Below are 15,392 nucleotides of genomic sequence, written 5' to 3'. Positions count from 1 at the left end.
AACACGGTGAAACCCCATCTCTACTAAAAACACAAAATTAGCTGGGCGTGGTGGCACGCACCTGTAGTCCCAGCTACTCGGGAGGCTGAGGCAGGAGAATCACTTGAACCCAGGAGGCGCAGGTTGCAGTGAGCCGAGATAGCGCCACTGCACTCCAGCCTTACAACAGAGCGAGACTCCTCTCAAAAAAAAAAAAAAAATTTATTACACCTGAGAGGGTTTACAAGTCTCTGGAGTCATAATGCATGGATAGTTGAAAAGTTGATACTCTTTGGAAAGGTGGGGCTATGGCCCTAGCCAGCACATGAAATCATTCTCTTTATTTGTACAATAAGATTGTCTCATAGCATTAATAATGATGAAGTATGCTTGATTACTAGAGCAAATATAATATAAAAGGATACTTCTAAATTTTTACTCTGTGAATTTCAGTTTCTGTGACACTCACATTTGAAGAGGGTGAACATCAATCAGTCTACTCCTTGACATACACTACTATAAATAGCCTTGGCTAAACCGTAAAAGAAAAATGAAGGCCGGGTATGGTGGTTCACGCCTGTAATCCCAGCACTTTGGGAGGCCGAGGCAGGCGCATCACCCGAGGTCAGGAGTTCAAGATCAGCCTGGCCAACATGGCAAAACCCCATCTCTAATAAAATACAAAAATTAGCCAGGCATGGTGGCACATGCCTGTAATCCCAGCTATTCGGGAGGCTGAGGCATGAGAATCGCTTGAACCCGGGAGGCAGAGGTTGCAGTGAGCTGAGATCATGCCACTGCACTCCAGCCTGGGTGACAGAGCAAGACTTCGTCTCAAAATTGCCAAAGTTAAGGGGATCAACCTCCCTCAGAGATTTTGAAAAAATGTATAATCATTGTATTTTACTAAATATAGGAACATTATGGTATGTAACACTACATTTACATTAAATTTAAGACAAAACATGAAGCTAAAAAGAATTCTAGCTTGGGACCAAGTTTTTAAGGCAATTGTTCACTCCTCTCTGCTACTAACCATACTTTTGTGGAAAAGTTTGAGGTAGAGTGACTTTGATGACTATTCAAGATTGGTATATTAATACCTCTACTAGTTACAAAGATGAATGGTGGTGATGGTTACAACATAATGGATGTATTTAATACCACTGAACTGTACACTTAAAAATGGTTAAGTTGATAAACTTCATGAGTATTTTGCCACAGTTTTAAAATTTATGGAAAAAAACCTCTACTAAAGTTCAGTATTATCAACAAATATAGACTATTGTAAGAGTTTTTTATTTAATTTGAATATGCATTTCTGAATTGACTACTATATCCTGTATTCAGCTCATGAATCATCTCTTACTGTGCTCATGAAAACTATACTTGATTCCAAGTTTTAAAAATACCCATCATTCTTTTTGTGAAGAAGGACCTGTGACTAACAGTTCTCACTTTTGTGGCTGTCAGCATGCCTGCATCAGTCAATACCTGCAACACTGTCCATTGTCCAGGATTCCAATCCTGGATGGAATGCACATAAACAAGCCTGTTAGAAATGGCCCTAAAATAAAGATAAATAGGATCTCTATGAAGCCCCTCCTAGAAAATCTACTTCTAAGAATCCTAAGAAAATAAGTAAGGCAAAAATTTAGCTATTATGCTGGGCGTGGTGGCACACACCTGTAATCCCAACACTTTGGGAGGCTGAGGCGGGCAGATCACCTGAGGTCAGAAGTTCAAGACCAGCCTGGCCAACATGGTGAAACCCCATCTCTACTAAAAATACAAAAATTATCCGGGCGTGGTGGCACACGCCTGTAATCCCCACACTTTGGGAGGCCGAGGCGGGCAGATCACCCAAAGTCAGAAGTTCAAGACCAGCCTGTCCAACATGGTGAAATCCTGTCTCTACTAAAAATACAAAAATTAGCCGGGCATGGTGGCATACGCCTGTAGTCCCAGCTACTCAGGAGGCTGAGGCAGCAGAATTGCTTGAACCTGGGAGGCAGAGGTTGCAGTGAGCCAAGATTGTGCCATTGCACTCCAGCCTGGGCGACAAGAACGAAACTGTCTAAAAAAAAAAAATAGCTATTAGGTTTTTCGTTTTACCAGTTGAAGAAACTTGGGTGGAATCAATATAAATGCCCCAAAATAAGGAACTGCTTAAATTATAGTACATCCTTATATTCCATAAGAAAATACTTATTTAGATGTTAAAGTGTACAACTGAATATTGCTAGGAAAAAAATATATGAACAACAAACAGATTTAAGCAAAAAGTTTAATAACAAAGGGTGTTGGGGGTAGGTATTTCTGGCTGATGGGATTATTTTTTCCTACATCCTGCTTATTTGTATTTTCTTTAATATCGACTACTTATAATAAGAAAAAAACAAGTTTTCTGAAATACTTATTCAACATGAGTTTATCATTCACTTATTAATTCAACAAATATTTGCATTTGTTGGATTAATTCAGACATAGTCCTTACCCTCATGTCTCTTAATTTACGAGGAAAAAAAAAAGGCATGATGAACAATCTTGGGAATTTTTTACTCCTTTCTTTCATTCTTATTAATTACCCAGTCATTCCATTTTGTTGAGGACTCTGGCCCTTTGCTGACAGTATCTGCCTCCCCTGCATTTTCTGCCATCACCTCCCACTTCAGTGTCCATATGGAAAACCCATTGAAAAACTATGAACTCTGACTCCATAAAACCACTTCATTCAGTAATCCATACCCAAAGCTACACCCTCTATCTTCTGATAACCAAGAAATTATTCTACAGCCTTAAGAGTCCAATATATTGATCTCTGACTACAACTACTTATCCTTGCAGTTTTTTTACTCCATTACTCCCTAAATACCTGCTTTCTTACCTAATTTTGATACCCATTCCTCATTTCTTCAAACTACAATCTCATTTCTTCAAACTACAATCTCCCACATGCTTTGTGTCTTTTCCTATCCAGCCTAGGTTCTCAGGTACATCACCCTCTTCTGCTAACAACCTTCCTCCCTCATTAATTCCCTCTCCCATTACCTAGAGCATATATTTTGTACCATCTTACTTCAACTCAAACTTGCTACTTCAGCTCTACCCTTACCTCTTTTATGACTCCTTTATCAGAAAAAAAATAAAAACTAAAACTATTAGCTATGAATTCCCTCAACTTCCTGCTCTAGATTTACAAGTTATACATAAAACCATCTTACCTGTTCCCTTCTAGTCTCAGAGGAAAAGGTATCCTTTCTCTTTTCTGGGTTAATTCCTTTACCTGCACCCTTATCTCCTACTAGATCTCACTATACCTTTCTAATTTCTCCTCTCTGATGACTCTGTCCCCATACTTTATAAAAATGTTAAGTTCTCTTCTCTTGTAGATCTCCTACTCTATTCTGTAACCTCCTCCCTAAAATTATCATCTTTTGTTTTTAAGAAAATGTCAAGAGCCTTGAAATAATACACATTTATTGTAACCATTCTCTTTTTTTTTTTTTTTTTTTTTTGAGACGGGGCTTCGCTTTTGTTGCCCAGGCTGGAGTGCAATGCCGCAATCTCGGCTCACCACAACCTCTGCCTCCCAGGTTCAAGCAATTCTCCTGCCTCAGCCTCCTGAGTAGCTGGGATTACAGGCATGTGTCACCATGCCCAGCTAATTTTGTATTTTTAGTAGAGACAGGGTTTCTTCATGTTGGTCAGACTGGTTTCAAACTCCCGACCTCAGGTGATCTGCCTGCTTGGGCCTCCCAAAGTGCTGGGATTACAGGCAAGAGCCACTGCACCCAGCCCCTTTCCCTATTTTAATATACTTTTCAACTCAACACAAACAGAATTCTGCCACCATTGTTTCATTGAAAGTGTTCTGGCAAACATTACTAATGACAGAACTGCCAAATCCTTTTATCTTTTTCAGTTTACTTGGCCTGTCTTTACCTTCTGACACTCCTGACTTCTTTCCTTTTGAAACCTCTCTACCACTGGCTCCTTTAACTCTGAGCTCTGTTGGTGTTCCTGCCCCTCTCTCAGCCATTCCTTCTCAGTCTTTTGCTGCTTCCTCTTACTTTGCCCATTTACTAATTTTGGTTCTCATTTCCTCTATGTTTAGTCTCTATGAGCAATGGCATCCATTTCCCTCATAATCTGAACTACCACCTATTTAGTGATATCCATTTCCAGCCCAGGCCTTTCTCCTAAGCCTCAGTCGTATATATTGAGCTCCTTACTGAACTTCCCTACTTAGGTATCCCATGAGTGCTTAATCTTTCATATTCAAAATGTCCTCACTGGACTTGTCATCTCCCTCTCATGTCCCAGCGTTCCATCTCACACCCATAAACATACACACACACACACACACACACACACACACACACACACACACACTCTCTCTCTCTCTCTCTCTCTCTCAAAAGCCATGAGCCTCCTCCACTTGTCCCTGTCCTGGTTAATGATACCACCATTGTACTCTACAACCAGGCCAGGGACCAGGGAGGCATTACAGATTTTTCCCTCATCTTCTATCCCAACCATCACTACCCTAGTCCAAAAACTCATGATTTCCCACCATGACTATAAAACCACACAAAATACTTCCATTTAAATAACAATAATAAAGAGCATTTTTACAACATTCCCCCTAGTATTTCAATTATGAAATGACAACAGATTACCTTATTAGCAAACCATGAAGGCTATACAGAAACATATATAGCTTACACTATTCTCAGCATTTAAAACCCTTGTTTATCCCAGTACCTAATACTGTTCAGCACATGGCAGCTTGTTGCTTATCAGTTCACTTCTGAATAAAGTGAATGTGGCATATTTAAAGATATCCATAATAATTATTAAGCTGCATGTTAAGCAGTCCGGCAGTCAATAATATGATATATAACAAAATACAATTATTACACCTTGTTAGTTCACCAGAATCTCTTTAAAATGCACCACACATACCCATAAATCAGGAAGTAGAACTGCTATAAATGAGCTTCCATTAACTCCCACCCTACTGTCATGGATAATACTTAACCTATTTATGCTCCCTCAGTTTCTAACCATTCCTCACCCCAAAATGATGAAAGTAAATAAACCCTCATGGCCCCCTTAGAGTAAAAATAGTGTATCCTTAGGTGCAGAGGGACTTTGCCTCTCTAAGTCTTTCCTACTTTGCTCTCTGATGACTGAAAGATGAAACCTTCTGTCCCACAAGATATCAAACTGTAATTTTCCTGAAGAGAAACAAAGTACAGTATTCAATAAGGCTAAATGGATGAAGTTCAATCATGCTAATATACATAAAAGACAAACACGGAGCCTTCTTTGGTCAACTGGGAAAGGAGATGAGGAGAGAGGTATATTGTTAAGAGGCCTTCAGAAGCAATGCCTTCCAATCATTCCTGATTTTTTTCTGTTTTCTTTAATGCACATGTATTCTATAATTAGGGGAGAAAATGTTCAAAAGCAAGTCCACAGGTCTAGTTTGAAGGGCAAATAAGCTGGGTGCAGTGGCTCATGCCTATAATCCCAGCAGTTTGGGAGGCTGAGGCAGGAGGATCACTTGAGATCAGGAGTTTGAGACCAGCCTGGCCAACATGCAGAAACCCTGTCTGTACTAAAAATACAAAAAAAAAAAAAAAAAAAAATTAGCTGGGCATGGTGGCTTGCGCCTATAATTCCAGCTACTTGGGAAGCTGAGGAACGAGAATTGCTTGAACCGGGGAGGCAGAGGTTGCAGTGACCTGAGATCACGCCCCTGCACTCCAGCCTGCATGATACAGCAATTCTCTGTCTAAAAAAATTGTAATAATAATTTTAAAAAGGCAAATAAAAGCTATATACAAAGTAAATTACATCAAGTGGTTTAAAAGAAACCTTGAACTTAATTTAACTGTATATACTAACATTTTTTACATCTAAAAACTTAAACTTTAGGAATTTCAATTTTCTATAAAAGAAAGTAAACGAGCATAAATAAAGGTAGAGGGAGAATTGTTAGATTCAGTCATACGCTATAAAAATTTCTTATCAGGAAAGGGTTTTATATCTACTATATTAGTAGTCTTTTAGTTTATTAAAAGTATTGCAGTTTGGTCATGGTCAGCTTTGGGTTGTTTTGCCAATGGCATAAACATCTAATTATTAAAAAACAAAAAACCTCCATGCTGATAAAAATACATCCTCCAATAAGGGGGGAAAAGTTATTTGATTAAATACATATGATATTTTTCTACATGGAAAGTTGAAATGAATTTAATGTTCTGTTTCACATCAAACCTATCTTATTTTTAAAAGAGTTTCCTTAAAATTAGGTAAACAGTTTGTATATACTGTCCCAAGTTCACTTGGTCAAAAGTTAACAGTACGGGGTCATCAAGTAAATTAAACATTAACAGCAAAAATTAAAGGACTTAAATTAAAAACACAGGGTCTAATCCTATGATGAAAAAATAAGGAAAAAGTATTCCCATAAGAGCTATAAACTGCTCACCTATTTAAAATAAATTACTTCTTCAGAGCTGCCTTAAAAGGTTAATTTATTTTAAACATATAAGAATTTCCTAGCCAAAAGGGATTTGTACTATAAGAAATACATTTTACATATTAAGAATAGAAATGTAGTATGAGGCTCAACTGTCTTAGACAACTGATCACACATCCGCAGTCATATCTCCTACAGACCAGTCTCAATTTTACTCCAGTTTATTAAAAATAAATAAGACATGAATGTAATAGATTCCTGGTTCCCTATCCTCCACAACTTCCAGTTCATCCCAACTCAATAAAGTCTCTGAGAAAGTCATAAGTTGTAATTTTTAAGTTTTTTACTCCTGTAGTTTATGTTAAAACTTTTAAAACTTTCTTTTGATACATTTCCAATACATCCATTTCCATTATTTATGAGTCCCTGTTACGACCTAAAATTGTTCTTAAAATACAAAAATTGTAATGGATAGGACAAAAAGTTAATACCCACCCATGGTATATTTCAGACTATATATAGTATATATATGTAATTAATACCATTCTGGGTGTCACTGTTTGAGAGGGGCCTTGTTAAACAAGAATAACCAGAAGAAGGAAACCAAGATGGTGAAGGGTTTAAGAGCATAAAACAATTAAAGACACATTAAAGAAGCCATTAAAGGATGTTTGGGAGTGGGAATTCTGCTGTCATCATGATTCAAAAAAATAATGATCATATTTAAAGGGTTACTGTAGGTAGGTGAGAATAAATTTGTTCTCAGTAGCCTCAGGGGACACTTAGACAATGGGTGGCAGTAAGAAGAGACATATTTTAACTCTTAAGATTCTATGATTCCAATCCTGAATAGGCTAAATTTCCTTTATTAAGCTCTCACAAAGTATATATTATTTCAAAAGCAGTGTTTCAAAACACCATATTTAATATCTCATTTAAGGCCAACATTTTAACATTAATTTTAGAAAGAAGATTAACAAAAACAAATGGGTTTATCCCTTTCCAGGAATCATTATTGGTACGTGAAAAAAAAAAATCCATACTTCCCAGCCAGGTGCAGTGGCTCACGCCACTTTGGGAAGCCAAGGCAGGCGGATCACCTGAGGCCAGGAGTTCAAAACCAGCCTGGCCAACATGGCAAAACCCCATCTCTACTAAAAATACAAAAATTAGATGCCTGGTGGTACGTGTTGTACCAGCTACTTGGGAGGCTGCAGCAGGAGAACTGCTTGAACCCGGGAGGCAGAGGTTGCAGTGAGCCGAGATCACACCACTGTACTCCAGCCTGGAGAACAGAGTGAGACTCTGTCTCAACAACAAAATAAAAAAGGTCATACTTCCTCAATAAATGTTGACCATTATTAGTCGTAAATGAATTTTAGTTTAGTTCCATGATTTGTGGTCAAGGATACTGTAAGCAAAATAACTCCTCATATAGGAAAAAAAATCTTAACTCAGTATATTCAGAGAATCAAAGTTGAAAATGCTATATATGAATCTGTTCTAACCACTTCTAGAAATTGGAGCTCTAAACCATGTAAATTTCCTAAAACAAGTACATTTCCTGATGTGTGTATAAATTTTCCCCCATGTAACTAATATTGGTATCCTTTAAAAAAAAAAATCACAAAAAGTTTCTTGCTCACAAAACATTTATAGATAATTAAGTACCTGTATTGATCTTCCATTAAAATAATCTACCAACTGCAAAATAAATCTGTTTCTAAACAGTTTATTCTCTTAAGCTGATACCTAAGTAAAGCATATAATTATATACTGTTTAAATAACCTCTGAGGAGAATTTTCTAATTGTTTTTAATCTGTCAATTAGCTACAGGGAGAAGAAATTATCCAAGATACTTGACAGAACAAAGATATTGTCAACATAACTGTAAATCAAAAGGTTGCGTTTTATAAAGGGAATGTAGATGGGTAAATTTTTGGGAAAAGCTCATCACATTCTTACCAAGAAATTTCAGTAAATTGTGTAGGAATATAATTTCAGTAGTAGATAAGATGCTATATCTAATTAAATAGTTGTCCATCTTGAGGTCTGACACTTCACAGACCTTTAAAAAAGATAAAGAAGTACTTTTTATGGATTTGTTAAGCAAAAAATTACAGAACAGCTCAGGCAACATGACGAAACCCCACCTCTACCAAAAAATACAAAAAATTAGGTGGGTGTGGTGGCGGGCACCTGTGGTCCCAGCTACTCGGGAGGCTGAGGTGGGAGGATCACTTGAGCCCAGAAGACAGAGGTTAAAGTGAGCCGAGATCACTCCACTGAACTCCAGCCTAGGAGACAGAGACCCCAACTCCAAAAAAAAAAAAAAAAGAAAAAAAGAAAAATACCTAGGTGGTATTAAAAAATGTATACACACACACACACACACACACTTAATTACTACCATAACCACACATCAACACACATACAAAATGACTGTTCACATCCTTTATTAGTTTCCTAATGCCTTAAAATTACCTTAAACAAATTACCATAAACTTAGTGGCTTAAAACAACAGAAATGTATTATCTTACAGTTCTGGAGGTCAGAAATTCAAAATGGGTCTTAGCGGGCTAAAATAGAGATGTCGGCATGGCTGCATTCCTAAAGAGTCTGTTTTCTTGCCTTTTTCAGCTTCTAGAGCTCATGAACTATTCTTTGGCTCATGGCCTCCTTCCACCTTCAGAGTCAGCAATGGCTTTCTCACATCTCATCATTGACACGGATTCTTCTGCTTCCCCTTTACACACTTAAAGGACCATGTAATTAGGCCTCCTCAGGTGATCCAGAATAATCTATTTTCAGATCATCTGAGTAGCAACCCTAATTTTTATCTGCAACTTGAATTATCTCTCACCGTGTAACATAACATATTCACAAATCCCAGAGAGATTAGGACATGTACATCTTTGGACATCTTTGGTAGGCCATTATTCTGCCTACCATATGTATGAATAATTTTTCCTTTACTTTTCTTCAGGAACTCCATGGACCATCATCCACCTCTGAAACTATATGCAAACTATTCACATACATGCATGATTCTAGAGAAAGGGTCTATAACTTTCAACACATTTTCAAAGTTTAAGAATCACTGAGCTGGGTGCAGTGGCACTTGCCTACAGTCCCTGCTACTTGTAAGGCTGAATGGACGATCACTTGAGTCCAGGAGTTTGAAGCCAGCCTGGGCAATATAGAGAGACCCTGTCTCTTAAAAAAACAAAAATCACTGGACTAGCTGATAGAACACCAATGTTCCTTAAAAGAATAGTTTGGCAGTGTCAACACTGCAAAATTTTAGTTTGACTTTTTGATATGTATATTTTTAACTATAATCATAAAACCTTGATATGGGTTGAAAGTTTTTTTCTTGTATTTTTCCTCTGTGTGTTTTTTATAGACTGTGTATATGGAGAGAGAGAGAAAAAGAAAACTCACCCATGTACAAGAGCAAGCAAATGATATAGATGTTCTTTGAACTCTTTTTAATATTGTAACTTTTTGTAAATTTGAAATTATTTCCAAAAAAAGTTGTATTTTTTAAATTAAGTCCCATCTCAGAGAAACAAGACCAACACGAAAATAAAAGGAAGTTGAAAACCCTGCTAAGCAAAGTTTTTAATACATTCAGTAGTATATACTGTTTTCAAGGTACTGTCTGCATTCTTTCTTTCTTTTTTTTTTCTCGAGACAGAGTCTTGCTCAGTGGCCCAGGCTGGAGTGCAGTGGCGCGATCTCGGCTCACTGCAAGCTCCGCCTCCCAGGTTCATGCCATTCTCCTGCCTCAGCCTCCCGAGTAGCTGGGACTACAGGCGCCTGCCACCACGCTCAGCTAATTTTTTTGTATTTTTAGTAGAGACGGGGTTTCACCATGTTAGCCAGGATGGTCTCGATCTCCTGACCTCGTGATCCGCCTGCCTCGGCCTCCCAAAGTGCTGGGATTACAGGCGTGAGCCACCGCGCCCGGCCTGCATTCTTTCTTGAAAGATGAACAGACCTATAGCTTTCACAGTTTTATCTAAATAAGTTAATATGTTGAAGCCAACATTGCATCAGTTGTAGCTTACTCATTATAAACTTCAGCAGGAGGGAAAAAAAGCATAGAAATTACAAGACCTCTGTTCTTCACACTACCCATATTTAGCATCCATTAGCTGGTGATTGCATTTCAGTTTCCAAGAGCAAAACCCCAGATTTTAAATTATGACTTCAGTTCTACTCTTATTGACAAGTAAAGAGGGGTATGCAGAGACACAAACTAACTGTGAGTGGAAAGGGGTGGGGGAGGGATGATTAACTCTTGACTGTATTGAAGAAAGCAAGCTGACACTTCTGCCCTAATTGAGCACCTAAGTAATTGAGTTCTTTCTTCTTATAAAGTACATTACTTTGTAGGGTATTAAAGTTCCAGGCAGGAATTCTTACTAGTTTTAACCCACGAATTTGATGGTCTAAAGTAAAAGCACTTTTCCCGTTTTTCCTTTGAAATTTAACTCAGGAATTTGCACCCCCTTGTGGTCAAATATAAAATTCTTAGTTTTCAAAAGACCGTTTTTTACAATCGGGCTCTCTGTTCAGGCATAGGAACTACTGTATGTTAGTTGATTTTGTTTTCTCCCATTTTAGCAAATCAAGAAGCTTTCATGAAAGATTTTTTCTTAAATAAGACTTTAAACACAATTAGACTTAAATCTTCTAAAAGTGACTTACACATAAACTTTAGTCTCTGCAAAATAGAGATAATTGCACCCACTTAATGAGTTACATGATGATTCGATGGAAAAATGCATGTACATGCTTAGCCCAGTGTCTGACACATATTAGGTCTTCAATAAATGTTATCATTTATCATCATCACTTTAGAATTCTCTTGACATATTATATCTAAAAGGGGACTAAGATAAAAAATTCTACAGTGAGGAAACCAGATTGTGCTACTTACCTATTTGTAAGTTCTAGTACAATTTTACACATGTCTCCCAAATATACCACTTATCCAGACCCCCCCTAGCTGATTGTCCCCACAGGTACATTATATTTTTAAAGTACAAACAATATGTGGTTATCCCTGAATGCTAGAAATTTGGATGATTTTTACTTTATATATATTTTAGATGGGCCTCGGTTTTTTAACCTTAACAATCAGAAAAAGCAATAAATCTATTCCATTTCCAGGTATTATTCTTATGAGATGGTAAAATAAATTAACATCCTTATTTGCCTAACAGGGATCATTATTCATATTTGGGAAAAATCATTTGTCAGTTTGATTTATCATTTTAAGGAGCTCTTGAATAAGAATGCTAACCCCGCCCAGCGCGGTGGCTCACGCCTATAATCCCAGCACTTTGGGAGGCAAAGGCAGACAGATCACGAGGTCAGGAGTTGGAGACCAGCCTGACCAACATGGTGAAACCCCGTCTCTACTAAAAATACAAAAATTAGCCGGGCGTGGTGGCGCGCACCTGTAATCCCAGCTACATGGGAGGCTGAGGCAGGAGAACTGCTTGAACCCGGGAGGCAGAGGTTGCAGTGATCCAACCAGCCTGGGCAACAGAGTGAGGCTCCCTCTCAGAAAAAAAAAGAAAAAAAATGCTGACCCCTAAAGGCACTAACTGTAGTTTGATTTTTGAACAACCATTAAAGAAGCCAGTTTAAAAGATCAATGACTGACTGACAATAACAAACATTTACTAATATGCCAAGCACTGTTGAAATTCCTTTAATATGTTAGCTCATTTACATCCTTACAACAGTCCAATGAGGTATTAATAGTACTTGTTTTACAAAAGGTCCAACAGATAATTTACCCAACAAGGCACAGCTAGTAAGTAGTGGAGCTGGGATTCACCCAGGCAGCTCGGTTCCAGAGTCGACCCACTTAAGTAGTGCAAAAAAGTACCAGAGATTAAGTAGTGTATTTATACTACTCTGCCACGTTACTTCTTGCTGATCTCAAATTGCTAAAATCCATTTCTTTTCCAAGACACTTAAATAATGCAAACCATGCTACCCTTCTCCCACTTCCTTATTAGTACTTCAGGCACTTTCATATCTACTCTCTTATTTAACATTCACAATGAAGGTTTTAAAATATTTACAACTTTATAGGGCTCCACGCGGTGGCTCACGCCTGTAATCCCAACACTTTGGGAGGCCGAGGCGGGCGGATCGCGAGGTCAAGAGATCGAGACCCTTCTGGCCAACATGGTGAAACCCCGTCTCTATTAAAAGTACAAAAATTAGCTGGGCGTGGTGGCACTTGCCTGTAGTCCCAGCTACTCGGGAGGCTGAGGCAGGAGAATTGCTTGAACCCGGGAGGCGGAGGCTGCAGTGAGCCGAGATCGCGCCACTGCACTCCAGCCTGGCGACAGAGCGAGGCTCCGTCTCAAAAAAAAAAAAAAATTACAACTTTATTATCGTTAATTGTCCTATCAGAGTGCCCATTTTTTTTGAAGGTAGACAGGTTTGCCTAGATATGGTGCTTCTACTTACCAGTTCTAAGACTTTGGGGCAGATTTCTTAATCTGAACCTCAGGTGTCCTCATCTGTAAAGTGAAGATAATACCTACTTCATAAGGCTGTTGTGAGCAATAAACACGATTAATTCGTAAATCATTTATTTAGCACAGTGCCCAGCACACAGTACACAGTCAATACGTGGTAGCTGTCAGTATACCAACGTGTTGCACAACAGAAACTCGTCTTTGCTGGATTCAGTTCACTTATCACGCCATTAAAAAAAAAAATCATCCTAAGTGACACAGAAAAACTGCCCATTCCTATCTCAAAAAGTTTATGAACAAGTTAAGACGGTAAGAGAAACTGAATTCAATGAAAGCGCCTTCGCAACAGGCAGCTTAGGACCGGGAAGAAGGGCTTCAGCAAACTTAATCATTAACTCTAGGCAGGCGCGCGCGCACACACACACACACCGTTGAAGAAGGAGACCACGCCTCCTGTGTGGGCTCAGGTTGAATCGTACAGCGTGGTAGAGAACTCCAGGGCTGCTGAATCTGACAGATGTGGATTCATCCACTTCTGTGCCACCTGTGCTGTCTTGGGCAAATTACTTAACGTCTCTGAGCCTAGGTTTCCTGGTCTTCAAAACGAGAACAGTAATAGTTCCTACCTGGTAAAGTTGTTCCGAGGCTTAAGTGCGATAACCCCTGTAAAGCGCTGGAGAACGGCAAAAGCTCTACAAGCCGGCAGGGCGGTTTTAAATGCACGTGTATCCATATACAAGGTCTCATTGATACATTCCGTTGTTTGGAGTTTAGACACTGGCTGTAAGACGTTTTTCTTTTCTCCTAAGCAGGACCCGTATTTGTTTACCTCCAACGTAGACTAAATGCCTGTGGGCTGGTAGCTATAAGACGACCCCTCGGCCCCACAACCTCTAAGTTCACTTCACCTCCGCGGCTTTGCAAAAGCGCTACACGCACGCGCAAGAAGCAAGAGGACTGCAACCGAAGAAGCAAAGGGAGAGCCGTGCACCACGATGATTCTGCGCATGTGCCTGGCGGGAGGAGGGGGGAGGGTTGGAGTTTGCGCATGCGTAAAAATGTCGGGAAAGCAAGAGAAGGGGGGTTAAGAGGCGGTATTGACAGCTGTGGAGGCAGCCCGCGTTCCCGGCATTCCCTGGGGCGGCGGGGTTGGCTCTAACGAATTTGAATGAGGAGCCTCAGCGCTTTCGGCGCCATTTTCGAGTGATGCCTGATCTCATCAATCTAGCGGGAGAGACAGGATAACCTGTCCGAGAGTATAGCGCCACTATGACTCCGCCGGAAAAATTACTTTAAAAATCGCCAAAAATTACTTGGAGCAAAGGGCAGTCGGCGGAGCTTCGCCAAGGCTGGCGCAGTCGGTAAGAGCCTGAAGAAGTAGCAGAGCGGGACTCGGGAGGTGGCAGTGGTGGGACCCGCAGGCAGTGGTGGGTGCAGGGAGTGGGCGCGGGGTCTACTCTCACTTAATCGCGAAAAATCCGAGGAAGTAGGGTTAGGGGCAACTTGGGCGTCTGCGAGTGGGCGGCGGCGGGCGGAATGTGGCGGGAGCGCGGAGAGACGGGGCTGTGGGGGGAGGGGAGCTGCAGTTTGAGCGGGACGCGGACCGGCTGCGGCGGAGCAGCCGCCGCCCAGCGGATCTGTCAGCAAGACCCCCCGCCCGGGACCGGAGCCGGGGACGGCGCACTGCGGGGTCTCTGCAGGCGGCCGCTCCTTGACAGGAGGACTGGACGCGCGCCCCTCCCCCATTTCCGAACCGGGCCGCCTTTTCTCGCCGTTTTCTCGACCCGGTGATGGCCGTCATCTCGTGACAAGAAACTTAAGGTCGACAGAAAATTCAGGACCCGGAGTCATGGGTCCCTCCGGTGGGTCGTGGCAACAGTCCCCCCCGCCACCGCCCGGCACCCATCTATCTATATTGTCTTTTGACGCTGAAGCGTGAGGTGCCCCAGGAAAGAGTTTCCCAAGCCCTGGCTGCCCTCCCCCGGCGCGCTGGGTCCCGGTGAGGTCTCTAGGTAGGTAGGACTGGCCGCGGCTCGCGCTTCCAAGATGGGGCAGGGGCAGGCTTTTGAGGTTGTAGCGGGCTCTTAGGAAAGATGCTGGACTTTAGCTTCTTTCTGGGGATTTTTGTCATTTGCTCTCGCAGCGTTGTCCTTTCTCAAAGGGGAGGAGTGTTCACGGGTGAGATGAAAGATGGGGCTTCGAGCTAACGATTTCCTTCTCGTGGCTATTTCCTCCGAGTCGCACTTTCTTAGAAGACTTTTTTCTTCTCCGGTGTTTGAAACATGTCGCAAGGAAAAAAGCAATCTGTGAAACTATTAATGTTTTCCTCCCCCAAAAGTCTTTACCCGGACAACTTAACGGTAATTTTGCGATCCCCACCTTTTCTTGACGCTGAGGAGGAGGGAC

At 40.6% G+C, this 15,392-nt stretch overlaps 2 long non-coding RNA genes across 10 annotated transcripts in view, besides 5 other annotated features; one reads left to right on the top strand and one right to left on the bottom strand.

The window, feature by feature from the left end:
- DLEU1 (deleted in lymphocytic leukemia 1) overlaps positions 1 to 14,001 on the bottom strand; it is a 446,475-nt gene extending 432,474 nt beyond the window's left edge. For 2 of the 3 annotated variants that reach the window (NR_109974.1, NR_109973.1), the window contains exons 1-2: positions 13,613 to 14,001; positions 12,976 to 13,028 (exon numbers count right to left, since the gene is read on the bottom strand). This is a non-coding gene — a long non-coding RNA (deleted in lymphocytic leukemia 1). The remainder of the gene's footprint in view (positions 1 to 12,975; positions 13,029 to 13,612) is intronic. The other variant, NR_002605.2, reaches the window with a different exon arrangement.
- The window catches only part of DLEU2 (deleted in lymphocytic leukemia 2), a 142,993-nt gene that overhangs the window by 29,372 nt on the left and 98,229 nt on the right, over positions 1 to 15,392 (top strand). For 6 of the 7 annotated variants that reach the window (NR_152571.1, NR_152572.1, NR_152568.1 and 3 more), the window contains exon 1: positions 14,129 to 14,347. The exons of the other annotated variant lie outside the window; for it this stretch is intronic. This is a non-coding gene — a long non-coding RNA (deleted in lymphocytic leukemia 2). Of the gene's footprint in view, positions 1 to 14,128; positions 14,348 to 15,392 lie in introns of those variants that run through there. 7 annotated transcript variants of the gene reach the window in all.
- Positions 13,077 to 13,872: an enhancer, noted in NCBI's record as "H3K27ac-H3K4me1 hESC enhancer chr13:50656434-50657229 (GRCh37/hg19 assembly coordinates)". NCBI's record gives its function as "activates a minimal SCP1, AML or CMV promoter by ChIP-STARR-seq in primed H9 embryonic stem cells {active_cell/tissue: H9 hESC(primed)}" and the evidence as "EXISTENCE:reporter gene assay evidence [ECO:0000049][PMID:30033119]".
- Positions 14,030 to 14,079: a silencer, noted in NCBI's record as "silent region_5353". NCBI's record gives its function as "represses an Ori minimal core promoter by ATAC-STARR-seq in GM12878 lymphoblastoid cells {active_cell/tissue: GM12878}" and the evidence as "EXISTENCE:reporter gene assay evidence [ECO:0000049][PMID:35858748]".
- Positions 14,480 to 14,699: a silencer, noted in NCBI's record as "silent region_5352". NCBI's record gives its function as "represses an Ori minimal core promoter by ATAC-STARR-seq in GM12878 lymphoblastoid cells {active_cell/tissue: GM12878}" and the evidence as "EXISTENCE:reporter gene assay evidence [ECO:0000049][PMID:35858748]".
- Positions 14,480 to 14,857: a biological region, named in NCBI's record as "Sharpr-MPRA regulatory region 84".
- Positions 14,563 to 14,857: a silencer, noted in NCBI's record as "tiled region #84; HepG2 Repressive non-DNase unmatched - State 1:Tss, and K562 Repressive non-DNase unmatched - State 2:TssF". NCBI's record gives its function as "represses a minimal TATA promoter and a strong SV40 promoter by Sharpr-MPRA in HepG2 and K562 cells {active_cell/tissue: HepG2 | K562}" and the evidence as "EXISTENCE:reporter gene assay evidence [ECO:0000049][PMID:27701403]".

The sequence above is a fragment of the Homo sapiens genome, chromosome 13 (assembly GCF_000001405.40).
Source record: "Homo sapiens chromosome 13, GRCh38.p14 Primary Assembly".
Taxonomy (NCBI): Eukaryota; Metazoa; Chordata; class Mammalia; order Primates; family Hominidae; genus Homo; species Homo sapiens.
The sequence above is the reverse complement of the archived record's forward strand: the minus strand, read 5'-3'. Positions and strand labels throughout refer to the sequence as shown.